Source organism: Homo sapiens, chromosome 1 (genome assembly GCF_000001405.40).
Source record: "Homo sapiens chromosome 1, GRCh38.p14 Primary Assembly".
NCBI lineage: Eukaryota > Metazoa > Chordata > Mammalia > Primates > Hominidae > Homo > Homo sapiens.
In genome coordinates this window covers 119,146,816-119,173,460 of record NC_000001.11, presented here as the reverse complement: position 1 = coordinate 119,173,460, position 26,645 = coordinate 119,146,816, and the positions used below count along the sequence as shown (strand labels likewise).

The 26,645-nt window shown below is 42.8% G+C and overlaps 1 long non-coding RNA gene across 4 annotated transcripts in view; it reads right to left on the bottom strand.

Annotated features, from left to right (window-relative positions):
• The window catches only part of WARS2-AS1 (WARS2 antisense RNA 1), a 135,578-nt gene that overhangs the window by 102,513 nt on the left and 6,420 nt on the right, over window positions 1-26,645 (bottom strand). For 2 of the 4 annotated variants that reach the window (NR_125975.1, NR_125976.1), the window contains exons 3-4: window positions 26,392-26,508; window positions 22,715-22,896 (exon numbers count right to left, since the gene is read on the bottom strand). This is a non-coding gene — a long non-coding RNA (WARS2 antisense RNA 1). Of the gene's footprint in view, window positions 1-22,052; window positions 22,669-22,714; window positions 22,897-26,391; window positions 26,509-26,645 lie in introns of those variants that run through there. The other 2 variants (NR_125977.1, NR_125974.1) reach the window with 2 other exon arrangements.

Genomic DNA, 26,645 nt, shown 5'->3' with positions numbered 1-26,645 from the left:
TTAGGCCTGTTAGTCTGAGAAGGGATCCTAAAATTCCAGGTAGTCCCCACTACGATGGGGCTTTGGGCAAAAATTATGTCTTTCTGATTGGTGAGCCCGGGTGCCTAAAGAAGGTAACAGAGTCTTGGAGTTAATACTAGAAATCATTCTTACAGGAGAAACTAGAAAAGCACCAGAGACAGGCAGCAATTTTTAGAAGTGGGACTAACCTCGGAGAAGAGAGGTGAGAGGAAGTTTGTCTGGCAGGCATTAGGACCCAGGAGGCAAGGGTCAGGATAGATAGGATAGATGGGTGAGTCTCGCTTGGGCGACATGCCTTTGAGAGTTCCGCTCATGGCCACAGGGTCAACCAACTTGTTGGGACCCGGGAGCTGCACGGCTTTCCTCTCTGTTGACCCTCGGCTCAGCCCAGAAGTACAGGAAAAGCGGAAGCTGGTTCTAGGCAAACCAATGGTCCCAACTCCGAAGAGTTGGGGGTTGTTAGAGAGCCCTTTCCCAGAAAGCCGGACACCAGTGTCTTTAGTCTGGCAGCCACACTAGTCGCTTTTAACTGGCCGACAGGTGCCCAGTATTTAGCCCCCGAATTCTAAGGAAAAATACAACAGAGTAGCAAGCGAAAGGGGTCCGATGGTACTCACTGCTTGGCGATAGGTGACAGTCTCACCGCTCAGCGATAGGCGTTGGTGTCACCACTCGGCGATAGTCTCACTGCTTGGCGATAAGCAAAAGTCCCATCTGGGTCGCCAAAATGTGTCCAGAATTGGTGGGTTCTTGGTCTCACTGACTTCAAGAATGAAGCTGCGGACCCTCACGGTGAGTGTTACAGTTCTTAAAGGTGGTGTGTCCGGAGTTTGTTCCTTCTGATGTTTGGATGTGTTTGGAGTTTCTTCCTTCTGGTGGGGTTCGTGGTCTCGCTGGCTCAGGAGTGAAGCTGCGGACCTTTGCGGTGAGTGTTACAGCTCTTAAGGCGGCGCATCGGGAGTTGTTCATTCCTCCCGGTGGGTTCGTGGTCTTGCTGGCTTCAGGAGTGAAGCTGCAGACTTTTGCGGTGAGTGTTACAGCTCATAAAGGCAGTGTGGACCCAAAGAGTGAGCAGCAGCAAGACTTATTGCAAAGAGCGAAAGAACAAAGCTTCCACAGTGTGGAAGGGGACCCAAGTGGGTTGCCACTGCTGGCTGGGGCAGCCTGCTTTTATTCTATCTGGCCCCACCCACATCCTGCTGATTGGTCCATTTTACAGAGAGCTGAGTGGTCTGTTTTGACAGAGCACTGATTGGTGCGTTTACAATCCCTGAGCTAGACACAAAGGTTCTCCACGTCCCCACTGGAGTAGCTAGATACAGAGTGTCGATTGGTGCATTCACAAACCCTGAGCTAGACACAGGGTGCTGATTGGTGTGTTTACAAACCTTGAGCTAGATACAGAGTGCCGATTGGTGTATTTACAATCCCTTAGCTAGACATAAAGGTTCTCCTGGTCCCCACCAGAGTCAGGAGCCCAGCTGGCTTCACCCAGTGGATCCCGCACCGGGGCCGCAGGTGGAGCTGCCTGCCAGTCCCATGCCGTGCGCCCGCACTCCTCAGCCCTTGGGTGGTCGATGGGACTGGGTGCCGTGGAGCAGGGGGCGGCGCTCGTCAGGGAGGCTTGGGCCGCGCAGGAGACCATGGAGGCGGGGGAGGCTCAGGCATGGCGGGCTGCAGGTCCCAAGCCCTGCCCCGCAGGGAGGCAGCTAAGGCCCGGAGAGAAGTAGAGCACAGCAGCTGCTGGCACAGATGCTAAGCCCCTCACTGCCTGGGGCAGGTGGGGCCAGCTGGCCGCTCTGAGTTTGGGGGCCCGCCAAGCCCATGCCCACCTGGAACTCACGCTGGCCCACAAGCGCCGCGCGCAGCCCCGATTCCCGCTCGCGCCTCTCCCTCCACACCTCCCTGCAAGCAGAGGGAGCCAGCTCCGGCCTTGGCCAGCCCAGAAAGGGGCTCCCACAGTGCAGCGGTGGGCTGAAGGGCTCCTCAAGTGCCGCCAAAGTGGGAGCCCAGGCAGAGGAGGCACTGAGAGCGAGCGAGGGCTGCGAAGGCTAGCAGCATGCTGTCACCTCTTACTAGGACAGCCAGTCACTAGATACTTCTCCCAGCCACTAAGTTGTGACTGGGGAACTTTTCACATGCTTTTCTAATTATGCCTGAAAGCCTCACTCTCTTGTTAGGGAGAGACATTCTAGCAAAAGCAGGGGCCATTATCCACCTGAACATAGGAGAAGGAACACCCATTTGTTGTCCCCTGCTTGAGGAAAAAATTAATCCTGAAGTCTGGGCAACAGAAGGACAATATGGATGAGCAAAGAATGCCCATCCTGTTCAAGTTAAAGGATTCCACCTCCTTTCCCTACCAAAGGCAGTACTGCCTTAGACACAAGGCCCAACAAGGACTCCAAAAGATTGTTAAGGACCTAAAAGCCCAAAGCCTAGTAAAACCATGCAATAGCCCCTGCAATACTCCAATTTTAGGAGTACAGAAACCTAACGGACAGTGGAGGTTAGTGCAAGATCTCAGGATTACCAATGAGGCTGTTGTCCCTCTATACCCAGCTGTACCTAACCCTTATACTCTGCTTTCCCAAATACCAGAGGAAGCAGAGTGGTTTACAGTCCTGGACCTTAAGGATACCTTTTTCTGCATACCTGTACATCCTGACTGTCGATTCTTGTTTGCCTTTGAAGATCCTTCGAACTCAACGTCTCAACCCACCTGGACTGTTTTACCCCAAGAGTTCAGGGATAGCCCCCATCTATTTGGCCAGGCATTAGCCCAAGACTTGAGCCAGTTCTAATACCTGGACACTCTTGTCCTTTGATAAGTGGATGATTTACTTTTAGCCACCCGTTCAGAAACCTTATGCCATCAAGCCACCCAAGCGCTCTTAAATTTCCTCGCCAAATTTCCTTTCCATGGCTACACGGTTTCCAAACCAAAGGCTCAGCTCTGCTCACAGCAGGTTAAATACTTAGGGCTAAAATTATCCAAAGGCACCAGGGCCCTCAGTGAGGAATGTATCCAGTCTATACTGGCTTATCCTCATCCCAAAACCTTAAAGCAACCAAGAGGGTTCCTTGGCATAACAGGCTTCTGCCGAATATGGATTCCCAGGTATGGCGAAATAGCCAGGCCATTATATACACTAATTAAGGAAACTCAGAAAGCCAATACCCATTTAGTAAGATGGACACCTGAAGCAGAAGTGGCTTTCCAGGCCCTAAAGAAGGCCCTAACCCAAGCCCTAGTGTTAAGCTTGCCAACGGGGCAAGACTTTTCTTTATATGTCACAGAAAAAAAAGGAATAGATCTAGGAGTCCTTACACAGGTCCGAGGGACCAGCTTGCAACCCGTGGCATACCTGAGTAAGGAAACTGATGTAGCGGCAAAGGGTTGGCCTCACTGTTTACGGGTAGTGGCGGCAGTAGCAGTCTTAGTATCTGAAGCAGTTAAAATAATACAGGGAAGAGATCTTACTGTGTGGACATCTCATGATGTAAATGGCATACTGACTGCTAAAGGAAACTTGTGGCTGTCAGACAACCGTTTGCTAAAATATCAGGCTCTATTACCTGAAGGGCCAGTGCTGCAACTGTGCACTTGTGCAACTCTTAACCCAGCCACATTTCTTCTAGACAATAAAGGAAAGATAGAACATAACTGTTAACAGATGATTGCTCAAACCTATGCCACTCGAGGGGACCTTCTAGAGGTTTCCTTGACTGATCCTGACCTCAACTTGTATACTGATGGAAGTTCCTTTGTAGAAAAAGGACTTCTAAAAGTGGGGTATGCAGTGGTCAGTGATAATGGAGTACTTGAAAGTAATCCCCTCACTTCAGGAACTAGCGCTCAGCTGGCAGAACTAATAGCCCTCATTCAGGCACTAGAATTAGGAGAAAGAAAAAGGGTAAATATATATACAGACTCTAAGTATGCTTACCTAGTCCTCCATGCCCACACAGCAATATGGAGAGAAAAGGAATTCCTAACTTCCGAGGGAACACCTATCAAACATCAGGAAGCCATTAGGAGATTATTATTGGCTGTACAGAAACCTAAAGAGGTGGCAGTCTTACACTGACAGGGTCATCAGAAAGGAAAGGAAAGGGAAATAGAAGGGAACTGCCAAGCGGATATTGAAGCCAAAAGAGCCGCAATGCAGGACCCTCCATTAGAAATGCTTATAGAAGGACACCTAGTATGGGGTAATCCCCTCCGGGAAACCAAGCTCCAGTACTCAGCAGGAGAAATAGAATGGGGAACCTCACAAGGACATAGTTTCCTCCCCTCAGGATGGCTAGCCACCGAAGAAGGAAAAATACTTTTGCCTGCAGCTAACCGATGGAAATTACTTAAAACCCTTCACCTAACCTTTCACTTAGGCATTGATAGCACCCATCAGATGGCCAAATTATTATTTACTGGACCAGGCCTTTTCAAAACTTTGAAGCAGATAGGCAGGGCCTGTGAAGTGGGCCAAAGAAATAATCCCCTGAACTTCAGGCCACACATTTCAATCCCTGTATCTTTAACCTCCTTGTTAAGTTTGTCTATTCCAGAATCGAAGCTGTAAAACTACAAATCTTCAAATGGAGCCCCAGATGTAGTCCATGACTAAGATCTACCGCAGACCCCTGGACCAGCCTGCTAGCCCATGCTCCAATGTTGATGACATCAAAGGCACCCTTCCTGAGGAAATCTCAACTGCACGACCCCCACTATGCCCCAATTCAGCAGGAAGCAGTTACAGCGGTCATCGGCCAACCTCCCCAACAGCGCTTGCATTTTCCTGTTGAGAGGGGGGACTGAGAGACAGGACTAGCTGGGTTTCCTAGGCTGACTAAGAATCCCTAAGCCTAGCTGGGAAGGTGACCACATCCACCTTTAAACACGGGGCTTGCAACTTAGCTCACACCCAACCAGTAAGGTAGTAAAGAGAGCTCACTAAAATGCTAATTAGGCAAAAACAGGAGGTAAAGAAATAGCCAGTCATCTATCGCCTGAGAGCACAGGGGAGGGACAATGATCAGGATACAAGCCCAGGCATTTGAGCCAGCAACGGCAACCCCCTTTGGGTCCCCTCCCATTTTATGAGAGCTCTGTTTTCACTCTATTAAATCTTGCAACTGCAAAAAAACAAAAACAAAACAAAACAAAAAAACAGTATGAAGGTCCCTCACAAAATTAAAAACAAAACTACCATATGAGCCAGCAATCTTACCACTGAGTATATATCCAAAGGATATGAAATCAGAATGGTGAAGAGATATCTGCACTCCCATGTTCACTGCAGCATTATTCACAATAACCCAGCTATGAAACCAACTTAACTGTCCATCAACAGATGAATAGATAAAGAAAATGGGGTACATATACACAATGGAATAGTATACACTCTTTAAAAAGAAGGAAATTCTGTCAATTGCTACAACGTAGATGAACCTAGAGGATACTATGTTAAGTGAAATAAGCCAGACACAGAAAGACAAATACCACATGATCTCACTCATATGTGAATCTAAAAAAGTTGAGCTTCGCTGGACACAGTGGCTCATGCCTGTAACCCCAGCACTTTGGGAGGCTGAGGCGGGTGAATCACTTGAGGTCAGGAGTTCAAGACCAGCCTGGCCAACATGGTGAAACCTCACCTCTACTAAAATACAAAAATTTCAATTTTTAAAATAAAAAATTTCAATTTCTAATTGCTTCTGTTGTATATAAATACTATTAAATTTGTAAATGTACAAAACATCAAAAAGTATGAAACAGGGATAAACTTGACAATAGATGTTTAATATTTGGTTACTGCAAACTACAAAATATTGCTGAGAAAAATTAAAGAAGATCTAAGTAAATGAAGTGATACATTGCATTAATGAATAGCAAGATTCTATATTGTTAAGATGTAAACAGTACTCCCCAGATTGATCTATGGATTCAATGCATACCCAATAAAAATCTACATAGGCATTTTTTTGGAGAAATTGACAAGGTGATTCTAAAATTTATATGACAATAGAAAGGCACTGGAATACTCAACACACTTTGAAAAAGTAGAATAAAGTTGGAGAATATACTACCTGACTTCAAGACATTATAAAGTTGTAACAATCACGACACTGCGGTATTGATGTCAGAAAGATAAATAGATGTATAGAACAGAATAGAGAGTCAACTGATTTTTAACAAAGGAGCAAAGGCAATTAAATAGACAAAGGAGAGTTTTCCAATAAATGGTTCTGGAACAATTGTATATTCATAGGCAAAAAAAGTGAACTTCAATCCATAACTCACAACATACTACAAAAAATAACTCAATTTGGATTATACACCTAAATGTAAAACCTACAATTACAAAACTTTAAGAAGTATTTGTTTGCTAAGTCATTTACAAATGTAACATTTCAACCCTAAGTACTTCAGCATATATCTGAAAAATTGATTACTGTATTTATTCATGTTATTGTTATATCCAATAAAGTTAAAACTGACACCGTAACATTACCTAATATACAGTCTATACTCAAATTCCCTTAATTGACCCAGTAATATTCTTTTCTTGCTATTTCAACCCAAGATCAAACCCAGGGTTACGGACGAATTTATTTTTCATGTTTCTTTATCTCTTGTAATATAGGACAGTTCCCTCCTTCCAACCTTTACTCACTTTATGACATGGACATTTTTCAAAAGCCCATATCTGTAGTCTTAAAGAGTGCTCAACAATCTGGATTTGTCTGACTGGTTATTGCTGTTTGGATGCAGGTTAAATATTTCAGCAAGTATACTACATAAGTGATGTTGTACACTTCCCATTTCATCCCAGCCAATACACCTAACATCAGTTTGTCCCATTGGTAATGCTAAGTGTTAATCATTTATTTAGGTGGCATCTGCTGAATGTCTCCATTTGGAATATGCCTTTTCCATTTGTAATTGATAGCTATCTGTGATGTAACACTTTGAGATGTATGGATAATACTCTGCTCTCTATTAGCAATTTATCATTGATGATTTTTACCTGAATCTGTTATTGCATAAACGTTGCAAAATGATATATCTGTAAATTTATCACCCTTCTACATATATTAGTTGGTATTCTTTTGTAAAGGAGAATTTTCCTCCGTCCTCCTGTCTTTTCTTTAGTATCACTATACACATGGATTTTTAAAAATTCAATGCATTATATCCAATTATATTATCATTATATATAATAAGTAATCACACATTATAATTAATGTGTTATATGTTATTGAGATTCTCAAACTGTCTGAAATGTGGCCACTCGGAGCCCCATCCCATCAAGCCTGTTCCTGTGTTCTTTAGACATCTTTTTTTTTTTTTTTTTTTTTTTTTTTTGAGACAGAGTCTGGCTCTGTCATCCTCGCTGGAGTGCAGTGGCATGATCTTGGCTCACTGCAGCCTCCAGCTCCTGGGCTCAAGCCATCCTCCCACCTCAGCTTCCCTAGTAGCTGTGACTACAGGCACGCACTACCATGCCTGGCTAAATATTTTGTATTTTTTGTAGAGATGGGGCCTTGCCATGTTGTCCAGGCTGGTCTTGAACTCCTGGACTCAAGCGATCTGCCCATCTAAGCCTCACAAAATGCTGGGATTACAGGCGTGAGCCACCGCATCCTACCTAGACATGTCTTTTCCAATCTTTGAGCACTCCCTTGATTTCTGACACTAAATATTCCAGGGTTGTCTTGTGGTTTCCTTTCTCCAAACTTAGAATTAGCCATTTGCCCAAAAAGTCCTGTTGTCTTTAGTGAAGAATGATATCTGGAAACCAAGATCTAATTTCCAGATGTGCTTAATGCTACTGGTACAGAGCTCATCATGGTATCCTCCAGTTTCAGAGTTCCTCCTAACTTTTCCCCATTTGTATTTAAATCTCTTTTCTTAAACAGGGAAAAACCTAAGTTCCCAACTGCCTGAACACAATTTTTTCTCCAGCCTGCAATACAAATAAAATAATTTCAGTACTCTAATGCCACTTCTAATAACAAATCTACTATTTCAGATTTTATTGCAGATCTTTGAGTGATGGATCCCATTCACATTACTATCTTCAAAAGTTACTTTCATTCTTTTCACCTACATCATTGTGTTATCAACTTGTCAAGTGGTTTTTTTTTTTTCTGAATGTATTCAATTGTACGGTTTGCTTCTTTCAACTTTTCAATTTATTTCTGAAATTGTAAAACATTCATATGACTCAAAAATTCAAACTGCATAAAAAGATATACTCAAGGATATCACACTCCCCTCCCTGTCTTATCTAGCTCATTACCCCGCCCCCCACCCCCCACCCCACCGCCCAGTCACCTCAGGTCATTATTTGCATTTTTGGTTTATCCTTCCTGTGTTTACCTTTTACAAAAATATGCAAATACATACACATATTTTTATTTCTCCTTCTTTCTGACATAGATAAAACTTACTACATATACTCTGTGGAACGTTGCTTTTTTCCACAAGAGTATATCCAGGAGATTGTTTCATATTGGGACATAGAGGCTTTCCACAGTATTTTTTTTCTGAGACAGAGTCTCACTTTGTCACCCAGGCCAGAATACAGTGGTGCCATCTCAGTTCACTGCAGCCTCGACCTCCAATGTTCAAGCCATCCTCCTGCCTCGGCCCCTGCCAAGTAGCTGCGACTACAGGCCCATGCCACCACCTCTGGCTAATTTTGGTATTTTTAGTACAGATGGGGTTTTGCCATGTTGGCCAGGCTGGTCTCGAACTCCTGAGCTCAAGCCATCCTCCCTCCTTGGCATCCCAAAATGCTGGTGTGCCACCATGCCCAGCCAGCTTTCCTCAGTTTTTTTGTGGGTACATCATACTCCACTGTGTGAATATATCATAGTTCACCATTCTCCTATGGCAAGAAATTAGTTTGTTTCCATTTTCGTTCCTTTTTTGTGAATAATTTTTGTGAATAATTTTAATTATATATATATGTGTGTATATATATGTGTGTATATATATGTGTGTATATATATGTGTGTGTGTGTGTGTGTGTATATATATAATTTTTTTGAGACAGAGTCTCGCTCTGTCGCCCAGGCTGGAGTGCAGTGGAGCAATCTCGGCTCACTGCAACCTTTGCCTCCCAGGTCCAAGCAGTTCTCCTGTCTCAGCCTCCCGAGTAGCCGGAACTACAGGCACCTGCCACCACACCTGGCTAATTTTTGTATTTTTAGTAGAGACGAAGTTTCACCATATTGGTCAGGCTGGTGTCAAACCTCTGACCTCAGGTGATCCACCCACCTCGGACTCACAAAGTGTTGGGATTACAAGCATCTGTTTTGTGGAAATATGTTTCCGGAGTTACGTGTCCATGAGTGTCTGAGTCTGCTAGGGCTGCCATAAAAAAATACCACAGATTGGGCCAGGCGCAGTGGCTCACGCCTGTAATCCCAGCACTTTGGGAGGCCGAGGTGGGCGGATCGTGAGGTCAGCAGATTGAGACCATGCCGGGCGTGGTGATGGGCGCCTGTAGTCCCAGCTATTAGGGAGGCTGAGGCAGGAGAATGGTGTGAACCCGGGAGGTGGAGCTTGCAGTGAGCCAAGATAGCGCCACTGCACTCCAGCCTGGGTGACAGAGCGAGACTCCATCTAAAAAAAAAAAAATACCAGAGACTATGTGGCTTAAATAATTCGAATGCATTTTTTCACAGTTCTGGATGCTGGAATTCCAAGATCAAGGTGGCAGCAAATAGGATTTCTTCTCAGACCTCTCTCATTTGGCTTGTAGATGGCTAACTTCTCCCTGTGTCTTCTCTTCACTTGGCCTCTGTGTATTGTCTGTGTCCTAATCTCTTACTACAAGATTGGATTAGGGCCCACCCAAATGATCTCACTTTACCTTAGTTAACCTCTTTAAAGGCTCTGTCCACGGATACAGTCACATTCTGAGGTACTGGGGGTAAAGATGTCAACATATAAATGTGACAGGAACACAATTCAGTTCTTAACAAAGAGTAAATGCTGGTATTGTTAAATTCACTTCATTGGGTTTATACAAGCTTGCACTATCACCAGCAATCAAGTGCTTCTTTTTATTTTTTTTAAATACAGTTGAAAAAAACTACTGCTTAGCAGCAACCACACTAAAAGTATTTCCTTTCATATTAGAGGCTATAATTTTATTTCTTCTATTTCAGCTCTCCTTGCCTAGATGATCATGTTTGAGTTTCACAAATTTCACGTTATATTGACATAATTTTCCTTTTCAAGAATTGCATATGAGGTACTTAATGTTACAGAAACACTTTGTGGCAGGCCAGGATGGATTTTAAGTTGTCGTGACTCAGATGTCTTCCCTTGAATCTGGATGTTGTTTCCCAAGGAATCCTTGCCCTGAATATCTCCTCTACTATAATAATGATTCTGAGAGTGGGACACGTGGGTTTTCTAAACTAATGAAAATGTGTCAACCTGGAGTTGCATCCTAAAGTCGCCGAGTTTTCAAGTCTATGTGAGGAAGAGAGGAAGTAAGTACACTCTATTCTAAAAAAGCATAAAATGAAAAACATTTTAGGTATGAGAAAGAAAGACTAAGTGCAGTACTTCCTGATCATTGTCCCTTGCATTATCGGTGTATCATGAAAAATAAATTCTCATTCTAGGGATTATGACTTCATGCGGAGGCAGTAACACTGCAAGAGATTTATAGCTATCTCTGGTCTCCTGCATTTTGATACCACAGGGTTACCGTCTCCAATTCTCACAGGTGAGTCCTTTTTAAGGTCTGTTCCTTTCCCTGCCATCAGCTTGCCCTTATTAAATAGAGCTTTACCTGTTAACTGCTCCCTACAATGGTTTTCTATTGATGAATAGTCTCATATTCTAGGCCTTTATTTTCCAAGTGAAATTTCATTCCAAAACCAATTACAAACAAGTATTCTGAATCTCTTTAATCTTTTAATTACAAAAGAAAACATCCTCACTATATCAAGTTTACATAGTACAGATGTCTATGAAAGTAAAAAGCAAAAGTTATTCTTTAACTCCAGAGGTAACTTATAATAGTATTTATATGTTTTTTAAAAATCTCAGTGAGGGAGCAGTTGGGAAATACACTGTCTTGCACTGTTGCTGGGTGTGTATGTTTGTTAACATCTCTGGAGATGCACATAATCTCAGAATTAGTGATTCACTTTTAGAAATTTACTCTGCAGGTATAAGATTTATTCTCTTATATATACAAATATATATTTACAAAAGTTCACTGGAAGTATTGTTTGCATTAGTAACTATCTAAACACAATTCAAATGTTCACCAAAAAGAGGTTGTATAAACAAATAATAATACTCTTACTCAACAGAATACTATAAAGCTTTTGATTTTTTTCTTTTTTTTTTATTATACTTTAAGTTTTAGGGTACATGTGCACATTGTGCAGGTTAGTTACATATGTATACACGTGCCATGCTGGTGCGCTGCACCCACTAACTCGTCATCTAGCATTAGGTATATCCCCCGATGCTATCCCTCCCCCCTCCCCCCACCCCACAACAGTCGCCAGAGTGTGATATTCCCCTTCCTGTGTCCATGTGATCTCACTGTTCAATTCCCACCTATGAGTGAGAATATGCGGTGTTTGGTTTTTTGTTCTTGCGATAGTTTTTTTCTTAAGAGACAGGGTCTTGCCAAGATGCCCAGGGTAGATTAGAATTCCTGGGCTCAGGGGATCTTCCTGCCTCTCTGCCTCCCAAATTGCTGGGACTACAGGTATGCACCACTACACCCAGCTGTTGATTTTTTTTAACTGAGGTGTATATGTTTACTAATATGCAAAGATGCTTAAAGCACAGTAAAGAGAAAAATCAAGTCACAGAGCTTGTAAGGGAAGAAAGCATGTGGGTATTTGTGACACCTCTGTAATATGCATAGAATTCTTCTAGAAAGATGCACAACAAATGACTGTTTCTCTTGGCAGTGGGATTCAGGAGTTGGGGTAGTAGGTTGGAGGGTAGAACTTTTACTTCTTATTCTGTATTCTTCTTTAGTTTGAGGGGTTTTTTTAAACCATGTGAATGTATTCCTTTTAAAATTGAAAAAAAATATTTTAAAGAAGCAATTTCCATGATCTGGACTTGCTTCTATTTACAGTCCCCTGTTAAGCAGATCATGACGCATTAGTTTTCCACTGTTTCCTGAAAAAAATTTTTCTACATCCTTTCTTTTTAATAGCCACTGTACATAATGAAAGAAAATGGTTGAGTTTTGTCTAAGTTATAGTACAGCTGGTAGGGAAAAGAAAAACAAGTTGGGCTTTATATTACATAATTCTTTGTTCTGCTGTAGTAACACACATAAACTTCCAGGCAACATACCAAGATATGCTTAAGCAAAAAGGAAAAGAGCAAGAAATCCGAAGTGGACAGCTTAGGCTGGAGACGTGTAGAACATCTGACTACCCGATACCACATTCCTAATTGTTTGTTACATGTTTACTTTCTAGATCCTGGAGACCAGGAAATAGTTTTCTCATACCAAAACTACATTACAGTTGTAAAACGTGAATGCTTAGTTACTTAGTTATTGGGAAAGATTTGACTAGTATTTATTTGAGAAAGATCAAGAATGATTAGAACTCACTAGATTGAGGTTTTATGAAAGAATATATTACCCTCTTAGACTTACAAAATTTTTTACAGTTACACAGAGAGAAGTATACGCTAAGTCTTGTATAGCTGGCCACAGTGAAAATCACACAGCATTGGACTGCAGGACCATCAGCATCTTATTCGGAGAATTTCTAGCTGTATCTCAGAGTTGCAACATATTATTGTTGGTCATGTCATTCCATGGTACTGACATCTTCTAAAAGTATTGGATGGCACATGTAAATTAAAATAAAATGAATATTTAATTTCATTTTTAGAATACTTAGCAGTATTTTGCAATTACCCTGGAGAACTGGCAGCTCCATGGGCTGCTGCAAAGCCAGGGCTAGCAATCCCTGCCAGAGAAGACCACTAGCATCAACTGCTTCTAAGAAGTCAGGAATGGTATGAAATGGAAGCAGAATATGTCACTGTCACTGCTTTGATTTGATTTTTTAAAATCAAGAATTGGCTTTCCCAAGTAGGTACCAGAACAGTGCTACTGTTCAAATATTTCTTAAAACTCTGTACTGTCAATTATGGGAAAGCAAAGCCTGGGCACTTCCCCTGCCCTCCCTGACCAATTCCAGCAAGGAAAACCATCTGTTTTTCCTTGGGCAAAGCCCAGAACAACTGAATGCTCAGTGCAACAAGAAACAGTTCCTCCCACCATTCCTCTGCCTCATCCAAATACAGCTGTTTGCTTCAGTCTGCAAGTGACTGAATGCACGGGCGATTTTTGTGTCCATTGTGTGAAAACAAACTAACATTTGCAACCCACTTTTAGAGTTTTCAAAGCATTTTTCCCTCTTCTATATCCTGTGCTCTTTCTTCACACACAATCACAAGTTAGAGGTAAACTGAAGTTTTTATGATGTACTCAACCTTCCCCCCTCATCAGAGTGTCAAATCAGGTTGAAAATGAAATTGGTAAATAGCTATTTGAGAATTGTAGGAACATTTTTATGTTTTCTGAGAAATAATCAATTAAAATTGAATTTTAATCACATCCCCACCTTCCAAAATGAGAGTTGAAGTTCTGATGTTTTAAAATTTGACCAAACTAGTATCTATGCTGTTTTATTCTATTCAGTTCAACGGAGCAGTTATTTATTCAGCATTCACTGTGCACAGGGTATATGCCATACAACCTCAAGCAAGGCTGGTCATGGCTCTAGAAGGATCTTAGGGGTCTGTGGAGAACATTAGACAGTGAGGAAATGGGCTAGGGTGTGAGTGATCCTTTGAAATGTGGGAGCACAGGGTGCTGAGGGAGCTCCAGGAGGGACACTAACTCCATCTTGGGAGAACATTTCTCATGTGGCTTCACATCTTCACAGTATGTTAAGCAGAAACATACTGTTTGAATTATAGACAGTGGTGTGAAAGCATCCTGTTTGGGAAAAGCAAATGAAAACATGCATATTTTTCCCCTTGGCTTTGTCCATGTTCATCATGTTTTCTTCCAAGTTCCTCCTCTTATCTCATCATGGGCTTATGACTCCTCATGAGCTGCACAGGATGCTGGCTATAAACAGAATCCTGGGAAAGGGTCTGAAAATGCCTGTGTAATGCCAGGGCGTGGGAGGCAAAGAGTGAAGGGTCCAGGCGGGGACACCAGGAGAGAGGAAAAGACACCCACAACACAGCTGGCTCTGGTTAGCAAAACAACCAAGGCCAGGGTAGGCAAGGCCAAAGGGCCCGAACCTTGCTAAGGATCAGACTGCTCAGTTGAGATGTTACTTTTGGGAATCTCTACTTGACCCTCTCCACCCCAGTACTGTCCTCCAAGCAGGGTTGAAGGACCCCTCTGGGCCTCCACAGAAACCTTGTTTCTCTCTCTGGTCACAAGAGCTTCAGGTGGGGCAATCCCCTGTTCACTTGTCACTCCTATTTAGCTGTAAGTGTGTAGAGTTCAAGACTGCTCTTTTATCTTCAGTGTCTTTCATACTGCCTGGCTCAGACTAGCTTTCGGAAAATATTTCCTTTTTTTTTTTTTCCCCTGAGACGGAGTCTTGCTCTGTCGCCCAGGCTGGAGTGCAGTGGCATGATCTTGGCTCATGCAACCTCTGCCCCTGGGATTTAAGCAATTCTTCTGCCTCAGCCTCCAGAGTAGCTGGGATTACAGGTGCACGCCACCATGCCTGGCTAATTTTTTTGTATTTTGGTAGAGATGGGGTGTCACCATGTTGGCCAGGCTGGTCTCAAACTCCTGACCTCGTGGTCCACCCACCTCGGCCTCCCAAAGTGTTGGGATTACAGGCGTGAGCCACCATTTTTTTAATTAAAAAAAAAAAAAAATACTGGGCTGGATGCCATGGCACACACCTGTAATCCCAGCACTTTGGAGGCTGAGGCTGGAGGACTGCTTGATGACCTGTAATCCCAGCACTTTGGAGGCTGAGGTGGGAGGACTGCTTGATGCCAAGAGATCATGATCAGCCTGGGAAACACAGTGAGAACCCTTTTCTAAAATAAAAAAATAAAATAAAATAAATTGCCTGGGTGTGGTGGCACATGCCTGTAGTCATAGCTATTTGGGAGGCTAAGGTGGGAGATTCTACTTGAGGCCAGGAGATTGAGGCTACAGTGAGCTATGATTTTACCTGTGCACTCTAGCCTGGGTGAGACAGTGAGACCTTGTCTCAAAACAATTAATTAAAACATGAAAAAATACTGGAAATCTTCAAATTAAATTACACACACACACTTAATCCTACTGCTTTTTTAAAAAAATTACATTAAGATGTAAAAGTTCCCCTTTCATGTCCTCCCTGTTTTCTTTGCTAAAATGGATATATCAACGTATACACTAAATGGTGGTTGAGTCAACTAATAAATGAGTGAATAAACACTCTTGTCTGTGTTGAGATCAAATCCTGGAAGGAGGCTCCCAGCTGTTGCATCTGGAAGTCTAAGCATTGGTCTCGAGTCAGGTGCAAATCCTACCCCCTTGAATTCAAGGCTGGCCATTCACTAGCCATAGCTGTAGCTGCTAACTAGTAAGCTTCTGAGAGCACAAATTATGTTCTTTACCTCATATTACTACACACTGTTCCACCAAAAAAGTGAGGAGGGGTGCTCAATAGCTACTTATTAAATAAGGAATCAACAAACTGTCCCTGCCTTACCTGCCCAGCTTTCTTCTCTTAAGATGCAGTGAATAGAACTTGTATTAGTTTCCTATTGCTTCTCTAACAAGGTGTCACAAACTTGAAGGCTTACAACAACCCAAATGGCTGGGTGCAGTGGCTCAGACCTGTAATCGCAGCACTTCGGGAGGCCAAGGCAGGTGGATCACCTGAAGTTAGGAGTTCGAGAACAACCTAGCCAGCACATGGCAAAACCTCGTCTCAACTAAAAATACAAAAAAATTAGCCGGGTGTGGGGTGGAGCCAAGATGGCCAAATAGGAACAGCTCCAGTCTACAGCTCCCAGCGTGAGCGACGCAGAAGACGGGTGATTTCTGCATTTCCAACTGAGGTACCGGGTTCATCTCACTGGGGAGTGCTGGACAGTGGGTGCAGGACAGTGGGTGCAGCGCACCGTGCATGAGCCGAAGCAGGGCGAGGCATCACCTCACCCAGGAAGCGCAAGGGGTCAGGGAATTCCCTTTCCTAGTCAAAGAAAGGGGTGACACATGGCACCTGGAAAATTGGGTCACTCTCACCCCAATACTGCACTTTTCCAATGGGCTTAACAAACGGCACACCAGGAGATTATATTCCTCACCTGGCTCGGAGGTTCCTATGCCTACAGAGCCTCACTCATTGCTAGCACAGCAGTCTGAGATCAAGCTGCAAGGCGGCAGTGAGGCTGCGGGAGGGGTGCCCGCCATTGCCCAGGCTTGAGTAGGTAAACAAAGAGGTCAGGAAGCTCGAACTGGGTGGAGCCTACCACAGATCAAGGAGGCCTGCCTGCCTCTGTAGGCTCCACCTCTGGGGGCAGGGCACAGACAAACAAAAGACAGCAATAGCCTCTGCAGACTTAAATGTCCCTGTCTGACAGCTTTGAAGAGAGTAGTGGTTCTCCCAGCATGCAGCTTGAGATCTGAGAACGGGCAGACTGCCTCCTCAAGTGGGTCCCTGACCCCCAAGTAGCCTAACTGGGAGGCACTCCCCAGTAGGGGCGGACTGACACCTCACACGGCCAGGTACTCCTCTGAGACAAAACTTCCAGAGGAACGATCAGGCAGCAACATTTGCAGTTAACCAATATCTGCTGTTCTCCAGCCACCGCTGCTGATACCCAGGCAAACAAGGTCTGGAGTAGACCTCCAGCAAACTCCAACAGACCTGCAGCTGAGGGTCCTGACTGTTAGAAGGAAAACTAACAAACAGAAAGGACATCCACACCAAAAACCCATCTGTAAGTCACCATCATCAAAGACCAAAGGTAGATAAAACCACAAAGATGGGGAAAAAACAGAGCAGAAAAACCGGAAACTCTAAAAATCAGAGTGCTTCTCCTCCTCTAAAGGAACACAGCTCCTCACCAGCAATGGAACAAAGCTGGATGGAGAATGACTTTGACGAGCTGAGAGAAGAAGGCTTCAGAAGATCAAACTACTCCGAGCTAAAGGAGGAAGTTCGAACCAATGGCAAAGAAGTTAAAAACTTTGAAAAAAAATTAGACAAATGGATAACTAGAATAACCAATGCAGAGAAGTCCTTAAAGGACCTGACTGAGCTGAAAACCACAGCACGAGAACTACATGACGAATGCACAGCCTCAGTAACCGATGCGATCAACTGGAAGAAAGGGTATCAGTGATGGAAGACAAAATGAATGAAATGAAGCGTGAAGAGAAGTTTAGAGAAAAAAGAATAAAAAGAAACAAACAAAGCCTCCAAGAAATATGGGACTATGTGAAAAGACCAAATCTACGTCTGATTGGTGTACCTGAAAGCGACAGGGAGAATGGAACCAAGTTGGAAAACACTCTGCAGGATATTATCCAGGAGAACTTCCCCAATCTGGCAAGGCAGGCCAACATTCACATTCAGGAAATACAGAGAATGCCACAAAGATACTCCTCGAGAAGGGCAACACCAAGACACATAATTGTCAGATTCACCAAAGTTGAAATGAAGGAAAAAATGTTGAGGGCAGCCAGAGAGAAAGGTCGGGTTACCCTCAAAGGGAAGCCCATCAGACTAACAGCGGATCTCTCAGCAGAAACTCTACAAGCCAGAAGAGAGTGGGGGCCAATATTCAACATTCTTAAAGAAAATAATTTTCAACTCAGAATTTCATATCCAGCCAAACTAAGCTTCATAAGTGAAGGAGAAATAAAATACTTTACAGACAAGCAAATGCTGAGAGATTTTGTCATCACCAGGCCTGCCCTAAAACAGCTCCTGAAGGAAGCGCTAAACATGGAAAGGAAAAACCGGTACCAGCCACTGCAAAAACATGCAAAATTGTAAAGACCATCAAGGCTAGGAGGAAACTGCATCAACTAATGAGCAAAATAACCAGCTAACATCATAATGACACGATCAAATTCACACATAACAATACTAACCTTAAATGTAAATGGGCTAAATGCTCCAATTAAAAGGCAAAGACTGGCAAATTGGATAAAGAATCAAGACCCATCAGTGTGCTGTATTCAGGAAACCCATCTCACGTGCAGACACACACATAGGCTCAAAATAAAGGGATGGAGGAAGGTCTACCAAGCAAATGGAAAAGAAGAAAAGGCAGGGGTTGCAATCCTAGTCTCTGATAAAACAGACTTTAAACCAACAAAGATCAAAAGAGACAAAGAAGGCCATTACATAATGGTAAAGGGATCAATTCAACAAGAAGAGCTAACTATCCTAAATATATATGCACCCAATACAGGAGCACCCAGATTCATAAAGCAAGTCCTGAGTGACCTACAAAGAGACTTAGACTCCCACACAATAATAATGGGAGACTTTAACACCCCACTGTCAACATTAGACAGATCGAGACAGAAAGTTAACAAGGATATACAGGAATTGAACTCAGCTCTGCACCAAGCGTACCTAATACACATCTACAGAACTCTCCACCCCAAATCAACAGAATATACATTTTTTTCAGCACCACATCACACCTATTCCAAAATTGACCACATACTTGGAAGTAAAGCACTCCTCAGCAAATGTAAAAGAACAGAAATTATAACAAACTGTCTCTCAGACCACAGTGCAATCAAACTAGAACTCAGGATTAAGAAACTCACTCAAAACTGCTCAACTGCATGGAAACTGAACAACCTGCTCCTGAATGACTACTGGGTACATAACAAAATGAAGGCAGAAATAAAGATGTTCTTTGAAACCAATGAGAACAAAGACACAACATACCATAATCTCTGGGACACATTCAAAGCAGTGTGTAGCGGGAAATTTATAGCACTAAATGCCCACAAGAGAAAGCAGGAAAGATCTAAAACTGACACTCTGACATTACAATTAAAAGAACTAGAGAAGCAAGAGCAAACACATTCAAAAGCTAGCAGAAGGCAAGAAATAACATCATAGCAGAACTGAAGGAAATAGAGACACAAAAAACCCTTCAAAAAATCAATGAATCCAGGAGCTGGTTTTTTGAAAAGATCAAGAAAATTGATAGACCGCTAGCAAGACTAATAAAGAAGAAAAGAGAGAAGAATCAAATAGACGCAATAAAAAATGACAAAGGGGATATCACCACTGATCCCACAGAAATACAAATTACCATCAGAGAATACTATAAACACCTCTATGCAAATAAACTAGAAAATCTAGAAGAAATGGATAAATTCTTCGACACATACACCCTCCCAAGACTAAACCAGGAAGAAGTTGAATCTCTGAATAGACCAATTACAGCCTCTGAAATTGAGGCAATAATTAATAGCTGACCAACCAAAAAAAGTCCAGGACCAGATGCATTCACAGCCGAATTCTACCAGAGGTACAAGGAGGAGCTGGTACCATTCCTTCTGAAACTATTCCAATCAATAGAAAAAGAGGGAATCCTCCCTAACTCATTTTATGAGGCCAGCATCATCCTGATACCAAAGCCTGGCAGAGACACAACCAACAAAGAGAATTTTAGACCAATATCCTTGATGAACATTGATGCAAAAATCCTCAGTAAAATACTGGCAAACCAAATCCAGCAGCACATCAAAAAGCTTATCCACCATGATCAAGTGGGCTTCATCCCTGGGATGCAAGGCTGGTTCAACATACGCTAAATCAATAAATGTAATCCAGCATATAAAAAGAACCAAAGACAAAAACCACATGATTATCTCAATAGATGCAAAAAAGGCCTTTGACAAAATTCAACAGCCCTTCATGCTAAAAACTCTCAATAAATTAGGTACTGATGGGACGTATCTCAAAATAATAAGAGCTATCTATGACAAATCCACAGCCAGTATCATACTGAATGGGCAAAAACTGGAAGCATTCTCTTTGAAAACGGGCACAAGACAGGGATGCCCCCTCTCACCACTCCTATTCAACATAGTGTTGGAAGTTCTGGCCAGGGCAATCAGGCAGGAGAAGGAAATAAAGGGCATTCAATTAGGAAAAGAGGAAGTCAAATTGTCCCTGTTTGCAGATGACATGATTGTATATCTAGAAAACCCCATCGTCTCAGCCCAAAATCTCCTTAAGCTGATAAGCAACTTCAGCAAAGTCTCAGGATACAAAATCAATGTGCAAAAATCACAAGCATTCTTATACACCAACAACAGACAAACAGAGAGCCAAATCATGAGTGAACTCCCATTCACAATTGCTTCAAAGAGAATAAAATACCTAGGAATCCAACTTACAAGGGATATGAAGGACCTCTTCATGGAGAACTACAAACCACTGCTCAGTGAAATAAAAGAGGATACAAACAAATGGAAGAACATTCCATGCTCATGGGTGGGAAGAATCAATATCATGAAAATGACCATACTGCCCAAGGTAATTTATAGATTCAATGCCATCCCCATCAAGCTACCAATGACTTTCTTCACAGAATTGGAAAAAACTACTTTAAAGTTCATATGGAACCAAAAAAGAGCCCACATTGCCAAGTCAATCCTAAACCAAAAGAACAAAGCTGGAGGCATCATGCTACCTGATTTCAAACTATACTACAAGGCTACAGTAACCAAAACAGCATGGTACTGGTACCAAAACAGAGATACAGACCAATGGAACAGAACAGAGCCCTCAGAAATAATGCCACATATCTACAACTATCTGATCTTTGACAAACCTGACAAAAGCAAACAATGGGGAAAGGATTCCCTATTTAATAAATGGTGCTGGTCGGGCGCGGTGGCTCACGCCTGTAATCCCAGCACTTTGGGAGGCCGAGGCGGGTGGATCATGAGGTCAGGAGATCGAGACCATCCTGGCTAACAAGGTGAAACCCCGTCTCTACTAAAAATACAAAAAATTAGCCGGGCGCGGTGGCGGGCGCCTGTAGTCCCAGCTACTCGGGAGGCTGAGGCAGGAGAATGGCGTGAACCCGGGAAGCGGAGCTTGCAGTGAGCTGAGATTGCGCCACTGCAGTCCGCAGTCTGGCCTGGGCGACAGAGCGAGACTCCGTCTCAAAAAAAAAAAAAATAAATAAATAAAAATAAATAAATAAATAAATGGTGCTGGGAAAACTGGCTAACCATATGTAGAAAGCTGAAACTGGATCCCTTTCTTACACCTTATACAAAAATTAATTCAAGATGGATTAAAGACTTACATGTTAGACCTAAAACCATAAAAACCCTAGAAGAAAATCTAGGCAATACCATTCAGGACATAGGCATGAGCAAGGACTTCATGTCTAAAACACCAAAAGCAATGGCGACAAAAGCCAAAATTGACAAATGGGATCTAATTAAACTAAAGAGCTTCTGCACAGCAAAAGAAACTACCATCAGAGTCAATAGGCAACCTACAGAATGGGAGAAAACTTTTGCAATCTACTCATCTGACAAAGGGCTAATATCCAGAATCTACAATGAACTCAAACAAATTTACAAGAAAAACACAAACAACCCCATCAAAATACGGGCAAAGGATATGAACAGATACTTCTCAAAAGAAGACATTTATGCAGCCAAAAAACACATGAAAAAATGCTCATCATCACTGGCCATCAGAGAAATGCAAATCAAAACCACAATGAGATACCATCTTACACCAGTTAGAATGGTGATCATTAAAAAGTCAGGAAACAACAGGTCCTGGAGAGGATGTGGAGAAATAGGAACACTTTTACACTGTTGGTGGGACTGTAAACTAGTTCAACCATTGTGGAAGTCAGTGTGGCAATTCCTCAGGGATCTAGAACTAGAAATACCATTTGACCCAGCCATCCCATTACTGGGTATATACCCAAAGGATTATAAATCATGCTGCTATAAAGACACATGCACACGTATGTTTATTGTGGCATTATTCACAATAGGAAAGACTTGGAAACAACCCAAATATTCAACAATGATAGACTGGATTAAGAAAACGTGGCACATATACACCATGGAATACCATGCAGCCATAAAAAATGATGAGTTCATGTCCTTTGTAGGGACATGAATGAAGCTGGAAACCATCATTCTCAGCAAACTATTGCAAGGAGAAAAAACCAATCACCGCATGTTCTCACTCATAGGTGGGAATTGAACAATGAGAACACATGGACACAGGAAGGGGAACATCACACACTGGGGACGGTTGTGGGGTGGGGGGAGGGGGGAGGGATAGCATTAGGAGAGATACCTAATGCTAAATGACGAGTTAATGGGTGCAGCACACCAACATGGCACATGTATACATATGTAACAAACCTGCACGTTGTGCACATGTAACCTAAAACTTAAAGTATTAAAAAAAAAAAAAATTAGCCGGGTGTGGTGGGCGCCTGTAATCCCAGCTACTTGAGAGGCTGAAGCAGGAGAATCGCTTGAACCCGGAAGATGGACGCTGCAGTGAGCCAAGATCAGTCCACTGCACTCCAGCCTGGGCAGCAGAGCAAGACTCCATCTCAAAGAAAACAAAAACAAAAACAAAAACAAATGTATTAGCTTACGATTCTTGGGGTAAGAAGTCCTGAAATCAAGGTGGAGGCAGGGCTGTGTTCCATCTGGAGGCTTTAGGGGAGAATCCAGGCTTTTCTTTTCTACCTGCATTCCTTGACTCTGGGTCCTCTTCCATCTTCCAACCTCTGTTTCCATCATCACATTTCCTTCTTAGACTGACTCTCCTGCTCCCCTGTTAGAAAAACCTCTATGATTACATTGGACTAAACAGAATAAACCAGGATAATATTCTCATCTCAAGATTCTTAATCACATCTGCAAAGTTCCTTCTGCCATATAGCCATCTTCAGGGCCCATCATTCTATCTACCTTTGGGGCAGAGAAACAGAAAATCTGTGCACATACTGGTCCACCCTCTCCTAAAGAGCAGTGTGACTTCATTTGCATTCTCTTTGATCTTAGTTTCCTTACTTGTAAATAAGAAAATGCATTTAACAAATATGTTACTAGACATGCACATTCTGAACTTTGAGGATGCATAATAAAGCAGACAAAAGGCTATGCTCCCATGCTGCTTATGTTCTAGAGGCGGAGAAAATAAAGTAAAATGTTTTAGGTGGTAACTGGTGAGCATTGGTGAGGAGACCAGCATGTCTGGAGTAAAGCAAAGCAGGGGGAAGTTAATGGGGAAAGGGCCAGAAAGAGAGGTTGGGATGGGGGATGCAGGTCACTTAGGTCTTATAGGTTTTGAGAACTTTGGATTTTTTCCAAATGACATGGAAAGTCACTGGAGGGTTTTGGGCAGAGTAGTGACCATGAGCTGACATACATTTTAATAGGTCACTCTGATGGCTGATTGAAAATACACGTAAGCGGGTGAAGGAGGAAGCAGGGAGATGTGTCGGTACCTTATTCTCTTTACTCTCACCTTTCTTTATGCTCTATTCATTTGCATATCCTTGCTTTCTTCATGCAGTTCTCTCTCCTAAGGGCACCCTGCTCCTCTTTCCAATTCAAAATTCTATACAGACACTCCTTCAAGATTGAGCTCAGTACTCATCTTAGAGCAGTAAGGAAACTTTGGGAGCTTATTCTTTGCCCCCATTTTCAGATGAGGACACTGAGGTCCAGAACTCTTAGGAAGCCTGTCCAAGGTTATACGAACAGCAAGCAGTGAGGCTAGGATTGCTGACAAAGTGTGATTCTAAGGAAATCACAAGGGCTTCCTGATACAAAGATGTTTCTCTTGAATTTTCTTCTTCTTTTTTTTTTTTTTTGACAAACCCACAGCCAACATCTTATGTCTTGAAATTCTGTTTGTTGTTTGCCTTCTCCTTCATTAAACGGAGATCTTGACGAGCACAGATGGTATCCTATTCAGCTCTGTGCATTTAGTACAGTGCCTGGCACAAAAGACACCCAATAAGTATTTGCTAGGTGAGTAAATAATGGAATGTCAAGCTCTTGAAAATCTGTGTGTGTGTGTTACTAGTCTCATGTCTTCCCCAAGTTCACCATCTCATGGTGTTAAATGTCAGTTGGACAGGTCTAAAAACTTTTTTTTTTGAGACGGAGTCTCGATCTGTCTCCCAGGCTGGAGTGCAGTGGCACGATCTCGGCTCACTGCAACCTCCACCTCCTGGGTTCACACCATTCTCCTGCCTCAGCCTCCCGAGTAGCTGGGACTACAGGTGCCTGCCACCATGCCCGGCTAATTTTTGTTATTTTTAATAGAGTCAGGGTTTCACCATGTTAGCCAGGATGGTCTCGATCTCCTGACCTCGTGATCCGCCTGCCTTGGCCTCCCAAAGTGTTGGGATTACAGGCGTGAGCCACCGCGTCCGGCCACCAAGGACAGGTCTAAAAACTTATGAGCTGAGTGTTCTAGAAAAGGAGACCTTATTATTGTCTTAAAAAAAAAAAGGAGTGGCAACAGGATTAGAGTGGGGATCTTCCCAACACAGTAAAGATCAGAGCTAGAGACCCTCTTCTTTTCCTTCCCTCCTTAATTCTCAAGCAGTCTGGGATAAGAGGGATGAACTAAGTTCTAAACGAATGTCACTCTTTGAGGAGAAACCACAGCCCTGTGTCCTGTGACCTTCTGTGCACTAGGCATGGTAGTCTTGTTTTTACTGAGGTGATAACTAGCCGTGACAACGTAAGTGGTAAGTGTACCCCCGCCTCTTACTCCTGTGGTGGGGTTGTGCATGCAGACCAGGAGAAAGGCCCCAAGAAGTATGTCCCTGTTTTCACTGTCAGTGGTTGTGTGGACTCATACTGAATTATCTAGTGGCTAATATTTTTAAAAATAGGGGACTTGGCTGGGCGTGGTGACTCATGCCTGTAATCCCAGCACTTTGGGAGGCTGAGGTGGGTGGATCGCCTGAGGTCAAGAGTTCGAGACCAGCCTGCCCAACATGGTGAAACCTCATCTCTACTAAAAATACAAAAATCAGCTGGGTGTGGTGGTGGGCACCTGTAATCCCAGCTACTCAGGAGGCTGAGGCAGGAGAATCACTTGAACCCAGGAGGCAGAGGTTGCAGTGAGCCCAGATCACTCCACTGCACTCCAGCCTGGGCAACAGAGTGAGACTCTGTCTAATAAAAAAAAAAAGGTGGAAAAGTTAAGGACTTTCCAATGTCACTTTACTTGCTATAGCAGTGTTAGAACTGGGAATAAAGTCCCATCTTCTTTTCAGTGCACCCACTGCCTTCTGGGACACATTTTCTTGTTTTTTTGCTTCAATCCTCCTAGTGGAAGTTTACCCTCTCAGATTACAACTGATATGAACAGATCCTTAAAAACAGAACTGGCACACAGAGAACTTGATGATAAATTGGAAGATGATGCAAGCACAAGGACTGAATCCAGAAATAAATCATATCTTCACATAATGTTTATAGAAATTGCATTTTGAAAATTTTCCATAGAAATTATTTTACCCACGACAGGAATGCTACTCTCTCCCACAGGGATTTGACCAAACAGAAGGGGAAGCAGAACGGAGGAAGAGTAGTAATTTAGATTTATATACGAATTACTTGGAACCTAAGTAATAATGCTTAACTAATCACAATGTTTTATGCATTCTGCTTTTTAGCGGAAAGAGCAAACCACAAGAAAGCAAGCATATATTAGAGAATTAAAAAATGCTTCCAGGGTTTCTTAGGCTCAAAAACTTTTTTTCCCCAACTCTCTGCACTATCTAAAATATCCCATTGCACATTTCCCTCCTCCCCCTCACATGTGTTTTGTTCATTTAACCAATTTGCCAATATTTATTGAGCTCCCCCCTTTTTTTTTCTTAGTTTCCACACACAGCACTGATGAGCCTCTCTTGCATGTGCCTAGTACTGTAAGTCAGAGATGAAGATAAAGGTCTTGCCTTTAAAAAGTATAATGCCTGGTTAAAAAGTTATCCTAAGATGATTTTGGTTTTTATCATTTTTAGTTTATTCCTAGTTCTGTAAATAGATAGTTCTACAGTGAATATTTTCATTCGGATCCATTGTCTATCATTTTGCATCTTGTTCTGTGCATCTGGGGAAGGGGCTGGCGGAGGGACTGACCTTTACGGATTGGTTAAGTCATATTCCTTTGCCCTGAGGTTCATCAAATGGGAGTAATCAAAAGATCAGAAGATCAAAGGGTGAGAGGAGAGAGAGGCAGGGGTATTTATTTCCCACCCACCACCTCTCCAACACATATATACTTTGTTCTCCACACCTGCAAGCTGTGCGTTGACAATGGCTCCATTCCTCTTCTAAATGCCACAGCACCTGTTAGGTAGCCCTCTTCTGGAACTCTCTCTTGGGCTAGCAGCTGTCATACAAATCATTGCGACTGCCGATTACAAAAGAAGAAGCATATTTCTGAGAACAAGCAAAAAGTAATCCAGTTGGGAGCTAGAGGAACTGCCACAGAGAACAAAAACAGGTCAAGATATTCTTCCTACTTACCCTTCGAAAAGAGATCTGTGG